Below are 7,110 nucleotides of genomic sequence, written 5' to 3'. Positions count from 1 at the left end.
GGAACCAAAGCCCCCGGTTGCCGGGTGAGGAGGAAGGACTGGAAAGGGGTGGGGGAGAAAACTTTCTGAGCTGAAGGGAATGTTCTCTATGAAGGTAGTTAATTAGCCGGGTCTATACCTTTTTTAAAGCTTATGAAACTATACTTTTAAGATTTGCATGTTTTACTGTATACAATTATATCACAATTTTTTTTTGAAAGAAGATGATTTATTCATTACTTCAGTTCCCTTAAGGCTTTATCAGGGAGTTTCAAGTTAACTAGGAAGTGCTTTGGTAAGAGCACAATTATCCTCTGAGAGACGCTTTTTATCTAATGTGTCTTATCAGTACTAATCCGTGGAGAGGTCACGGAAAATGTTTAAGTGTGGAGGTGCACCAGCCGGTTTCAGCGAGGTGTGTGCACCTGGCCGGCGTCAGTGAACCTCCAGAGCCGTGGTTTTTGCGTACTTGAGCCAAGGAACCCACAAGTCCGGCCGGGCTGCGGTGAGCCCGGAGCTGCTGTTTTGAGCCCTGGGAGTGTGTTAGTTCATCTGGTCCTTAGAACCTGTGATATGGGTGCTGCTATTATTCCCACCTTCCTGATGGGGAATGAGATGCACAAGGCTTGGTAGATTGCTCAAGGCCACAGTGGCGGGCAGGTGGCAGAGGCCACGAGCGCTGCCTAACCACGCCTGCCCACGCAGGTGGCTAGCCCGGGCCGCGGCGGGCACAGCACTGTGCGTTTCTTCACCTCCGGAGGGTGGGCCCTGGGCTGAAGAACCCCGGCCTGCATCCGAATGGACTCTCATGCAGACACGGATGTTCTGTCCGCTCCTGGAGTTGTCTTCGCAGGAAGTAGTGGCCCCTCTTTGTGTGGGGCTCCGCAGAGGGCGAGGAGTGAAGTTTCCTTCTGGAAAGTTTGCAAAACCCCTCGGGGGTCTCCTCACAACCTCCCTGCCCCTGTTTCCACGGCTGCCGGACGGTTCCCTTCAAAGTACAAACGTGTGCCGCTGCCCCCACCCCGAATGCGTCCCCTTCAAAGAGTTCCTGAGCTGAGAGGCGGAACTGGAGCACGCGGACTTCGGGGCCGTGCCTCCGCAGCTCACCCCGCGCGCAACTGCGGGAGCCATGCTTTCAATTCCTGGAAACTGGTGCTTCGACATCTACAAACCGGCCAGTCGCTGTTCCTGGTAAACCGTGGCCCACCCAAAACCATCCGCAGACTTTTTTTTTTTTTTTTTCAGTAGTCAGGGAATCGCTGTTTCGCCCAGTCTGGAGTGTAGTGGCACAATCACAGCTCACTGCAGCCTTGAACTCCTGCTTGTGTGCCTGTGTGTGCGCGTGTCTGTGTGCGTGTGACGTGTGTGTGCGCGTGTGCATGTGTGTGTCCGTGTGCGTGTGTGCCCGTGTGTCCACGTGCATGCATGCATGTCCGTGTGTGTGCGTTCGTGCGTGTGTGCCTGTGTGTGTGTGTCTTCTCACTGCTTATCTAATTAATCCATACTCTGCCATTTTTTTCAATTTGGAGTGAAATTGAGAGGAATCTTATCTAGTGTTAAAATCCGGATCATTTTAGATCCCCAAATAAAAAGATTCAGTGACCTCTTTCCGAGGGTGCACTGACAACAAAATAGTGAGTCAAACTGAAAATTTGGAATGCTCTATTTGAAAGTGGTACTGTCAGGTAAATCTAGAATAGGGGCTACCAAACAAAAGGGCATCTAATGCAGACCATTTTCCATTTTTCCGTCTAAGAATGTCTGCTACTTTTGTTATTTGTACTTATAATGATAACAGTGTTGATAGCAACTGATATGCCTATGGATGGTTATACATGTCAAGCCCTGTTCTGAGCCCTGAGAGTGTGTTAGTTCATCTGGTCCTTAGAACCTGTGAAATGGGTACTGTTATTATTCCCACCTTCTTAATGAGGAATGAGATGCACAGGGCTTGGTAGATTGCTCAAGGCCACAGTGGCGGGCAGGTGGCAGAGGCCACCAGCGCTGCCTACCCATCCGTCCCTCCTGCACTTCCTGCACCTTGGAGGGTCCTCCCTCTGCCCAGCTTCTACCTGCTAAATCCAATCTCGCCTTTCATGGAGTTATTCAAATATTTCTTCCCCAAGGAATTTAGTGGAAATAAATGCTTCATTCTCTGCATTTTCTTAACATTTACCTGTACCTACCTCTTTCTCTTTTCACAGATTCATTCAATACACATCTATTAAGTGCCTCATGTATTCCAGACCTGTGACCCCCGGGTAGTTCCTGCCTTCAAGTAGCTCACAGTCTAGGGAGGTGACAGCTGAGCCAACAGGACATTCTCCATTGGAATTTGTGTGGCGCTGGAGCTCTGCACAAGATGCTGTGGATGCGCAGGAGGTCCCAGGCTGTGGGTGTCTAGAGGTTTCCTGGAGGTGGTGTTGCTTTAGCTGAGTTCCAAGCTTAGCCAAGCCAACCAGTTGGGAGCAAAAGGGTTTTCTTGGCAGAAGGTTTGCAACCCCCAAACAGGGAACTTTGGGAAACTGCAGTGAGTTCAGCCTAGTGAGGTTCAGGGTGAGATTCTAAGCTGGTAATCATTGCACATTCTGGCACCTGTGGCTGGTACTGGGACTGGCTGCCACTTGGCTTCACTGACCTCATGGAGCTTTACTCAGGACAAAAGTCTCCAGAAAGCAGGAAGCCAAGCCACCTGGTCCTCTTCTTGGCTGAGAACCAGACAGGGAGGAGCCTGGGGACAATTTAGGGAAACAGGCTGACCGGATATTTCTGGTCCAGGTGGTGAGGAGGGCCTGTCTGGGTGTCTTTTGTTACTCAGTTCCCTCTGGAGTCTGTGCACTGTAATGTTAATCCATCCCCTCCTACTCTCTGGACTCAGAGTGCCTGAGGCTGACTACATCAAGGAATGCCGTGTTTGCAAAAACCAGCGGCTTAATCTCAGCTTCCCTCTCCACCAGCACCTTTGGTTCCCTCCCAGGTGCAGCTTCTCCCATCTTAGCCAGGGTAGGGTGGGGGGCACCATGAGAGCAATAGCCACTCTGCTTATTCTCCTCCAACACCTGAGCATCAGGGGGCTTCAGAACTGCAGGGCTCAGCGGGGAAATGGCAGCAACGGTGGAGGTGGTGGCAGCAGGGGCCACAGCAACATTCACTCTTGTTTCAGAGCGCTAGGTCAAATCTGAGGGGATTTGATCTGGAAATCCAAATCACAACATTTAAGAGTGTTGACATTTTCTCCAGCTAACATCCTCCCGCTCTCTACAACATTATTGCATTCTGACCATTTTCTCTAAAGATAGGTCACATGTGATGACTTAATAGTGGAATTGGATCTGGCATTAAGCTACACTGATTTTCAACCTGGTTCTGGGACACAGAGCAGTCTCAGCGTGCTTTATGTTCTGAGAACTTTGCGTGTATATTTTAGTTTCTTATTTTTATTTAAACGAGTAACAATAGATAGAAAACAGAAGCGCACATCTCTCACTTGCTCAACCTCTTACTCTGAACACCTTCTAAAATCATGGGGAAACTCACAGACAGATAGTAACTTCCTCATTTCAGATTGATGAATATTAAAAAGCAAGTCCTATATTTTGAATGGCATAATTCATTCAGTAAATATTGTTTGAGCATCTATCAAGTGTTGTAGGAGCTGGGAATATAACAGGGAATAAAATAGACAAAGACCTTGTCTTTGTGGTGCTTACATTCTAGTGGGAGGGAAAAGGCAATGAACAAACAAGTAAATAGACAGTAAGTCAAACGGTGATACATGGGATGGAAAATATAAATATCAACATATAGTGGTGTGTGTGTGTGTGTGTGTGTGTGTGTGTGTTGAGCCTGTGTTGCTATTTTACATTGGTTAATCAGAGTTCCCCCCTACTTGAGTGACAATGGGGAAGTGGCCTGAAGGAAGCAAGAGATGAGCCAGGCAGCTGTGCGGAGAGAGTTCCAGCAGGAGAACCCACAAGTGCACAGGCTGTGAGGCCAGAGATGAGCCGTTGAATGGATTAAAAGCATCAAGATTTCTAGTTAAATAGTATAAATCAATGTATTTGCTATGGACTAAATGTTTGCTTCCTCCCTCAATGTATATGTCGAAACCTAACCCCCAATGTGACAGTATCAGGAGGGAGGGGGTCTTTGGGAGATGATGAGATCATGAAAGTGGAGACCTCATGAATGGGATTAGCGGCCTTATAAGTAGCTAACTAGAGAGGAATTTTTTCTCTTCCACTGTATTAGTCCGTTCTCACACTGCTATAAAGAACTGCCCCAGACTGGGTAATTTATAAAGGAAGGAGCTTTAATTGACTTGCAGTTCCACAGGGCTGAGGAAGCCTCAGGAAACTTACAATCATGGCAGAAGGAGAAGCAAACATGTCCTTCTTCACATCGTGGTCGGAAGGAGAAGTGCCAAGCAAAAGGAGGAAAAACCCTTATAAAACCATCAGATCTCGTGAGAACTCACTATCACGAGAACAGCATGAGGGTAACCACCCCCATGATTAAATTACCTCCCATTGGGTCCCTCCCACAACACGTGGGGATTGTGGGAACTACAATTCAAGATGAGATTTGGATGGAGACGGAGCCAGACCATATCATCCACCATGTGAAGACACAGCTAGAAGGTGCCGTCTTTGAATCAGGAAGTCAGCCCTCACCAGACACCAAATCTGCTGGCACCTTAATCTTGGACTTCCCAGCTTCCAGAACTATGAGAAATAAATTTCTGTTGTTTATAAGCCATTTAGTCTAAGGTATTTTGTTAAAGTAGTGTGAACAAACTAAGATACTACTTAATTTTATTTTTCTATTGCTTTGTGTTTCTTCAGGCCATAAGTGCCTTTTAACTAGTTATGTACCTGTCAAGATGTGAGGGTGAACTTCTCACGTTTGATTTGCCAACTTCCAGAGGGAATCTCATGACACACCCACAGGGAACAGCAGGAAAGCCTCTTCCGTTTTCATGCTTTCTGAGTGAGGGTCTCAGGTGATTGTGAAAGTACTCCAAGGAAAGCTTTTGAGAGCTTCCTCTTGTCACGCTGGCCAAGGAACGTTCAGCATCCATGAACTGGAATTGCAGAGTTTAAAGTGGGTGTTCATTTTTCAAAAGTTGAAGTCAACTAGTTGCTGACACTGGACTGCATGTTTACGGGTGAACCTGGGATTTTTCTCACTGGTGCTGTAGCTGGCATTCTTTATATCCACTCAAATCTCTTATCTGAAAATACTCGTATCCTTTCAGCTGTGTGTAATGTAAAACTACATCCTTGCATTACACATTCTGGACAGGCAGTTTAGTATTTATGGAAGAATTTAAGCAACTTCAGCATCAGCAAATAAAAGAGAAAAACAGACAGACATATGCAGACTCACATACATGATCAGTCCATGAGGAGAACAGGCCTCTTCCAGAGGGGGAGGTTCCCAATGCTTATAGTTAAAGTGAATTTCAAAAGAAACAATGACCAGACCTAGAGTGCATGCTGCTAAATTGTTTACACAATTGACATCTAACAGCAAGGTAGCCTGAGGGCACAATCTTTTTACAATGTTGTGTCCACAATTGAAAGACTATTTTAAGGGCAGGTCAAATGCTAAGAAAGATAGAACAAATCTTAAATTTGAAAAGTCAAGAGTCAAAGGAGGCTTCCATAAAGGACTGGCTAAAAAGGTGATGTTTAATTTCAAAAGGTGATGCTAAAAGGGAGGATTCTGAAGTTCTACAAAATCTATAAAATTCTATAAATTGGAAGTGACAAGCACAATCCTGAAGCATTTCACATTCTTGAGTTGGCTTTTCTCTTTGGTGTTTCTATGGCATCTCCCTTGCTCAGAGACTTTTCCTTGCATTCTAGCTGTAAGATACTTTTCTCAGTCTGTCTCTACCATTACACCATTAATTCCTCCAGCACAGAAAGCACATTGTTTTGTTTCTTCTGTGCCTGAAACAGAGCCTAGCGTATGGTTTAAGCTAAATCAGTGCTTATGGAGCAAATGAATGAACAAAGGGCCATGAGCAAAAGCATGGAATGAGGTTCCGCCCTGTGACGCTAAGGAGAGAGGCCATTTCTCTTACTGTCTCCTGTCTCCAAAGAAAAGGAGGAAGTAAAAACTGAAGAATAACACACTGATCAGTGCCACTGGTCAGGCCTGTAGGGTAAAGATTAACCCCCACCCTAATCGCTTGTGCTATCTATAGATCACAGACAATGATATGGAGAAATACTTGCCTTGCTTACCCCCACCTAGTCATGTACCCCATGCCTGCTCAATCTATCACCACCCTGTCATGTAGACCCCTTAGAGTTGTGAACCCTTAAAAGGGCCAGGAACTCTTTCTTCAGGGAGCTCGGTTCTTGAGACGCAAGTCTGCCAACTCTCCCAGCCAAATAAAGCCATTTCCTTCTTTAACCTGGTGTCTGAGGAGTTTTGTCCATGGCTCGTCCTGCTACAACACCTTAGTATCCTTGCAAGGCAAGCAAAAACCAAAGTACTGTTTATGCAATGATTTTAAATTAGATGCCTCTGATTGTTCATGAGAACGTGCACAGGTTGAAAACAGAAGATGTTCAAAAAGATTGAAATAAGCTGACGGATAATGGTTCCAAATGGATTATTTGAAGGAATCTAGGAATTGAAAAGGTCAGTGATGTCACTGAGATAATGTATATCTAGAAAACTGAACCAAGGTGATGGTGTCAGGCATGTGGACAGTCTTCAACAACAATCTTTCCTCCTTCTTTTGTTATTAAAGAGCAGATAGTTCTGGGTGAATTGGGCTGTTCTTAGCAGTGCAAAGATCTGCTATTTTACACCAGAGAAGGAGCTGCTTTCTCAGAGGCTGCCTCTTTGGAGTGTTTGGCAGCCGGCTGCTGCCTTCATAACACCAGGAGAACTAACTGAGTCAGGTAGATAACAGGGTTGCATGAAGAGCCACACAGAGAAAACTGAGGTGGGCTCAGGGGGCCTCCATGTTCCTCCACATCAATCTCCTGAGGTCACTTGTTTTTTTCTCCTCAAGATTCTTTGAATCTGCCTGAAAACGCTTCCTCTGCTTGACCTCAGCCACTGAGGGGGTTAAAAAAAAAAAGGGCATTAAGGTCCCAATTCCTGGAT

At 45.9% G+C, this 7,110-nt stretch overlaps 1 annotated feature.

The window, feature by feature from the left end:
- Positions 1,805 to 2,701: an enhancer, noted in NCBI's record as "NANOG-H3K27ac hESC enhancer chr13:25641514-25642410 (GRCh37/hg19 assembly coordinates)". NCBI's record gives its function as "activates a minimal SCP1, AML or CMV promoter by ChIP-STARR-seq in primed H9 embryonic stem cells {active_cell/tissue: H9 hESC(primed)}" and the evidence as "EXISTENCE:reporter gene assay evidence [ECO:0000049][PMID:30033119]".

This window comes from Homo sapiens, chromosome 13 (assembly GCF_000001405.40).
Source record: "Homo sapiens chromosome 13, GRCh38.p14 Primary Assembly".
Taxonomy (NCBI): domain Eukaryota; kingdom Metazoa; phylum Chordata; class Mammalia; order Primates; family Hominidae; genus Homo; species Homo sapiens.
The sequence above is the reverse complement of the archived record's forward strand: the minus strand, read 5'-3'. Positions and strand labels throughout refer to the sequence as shown.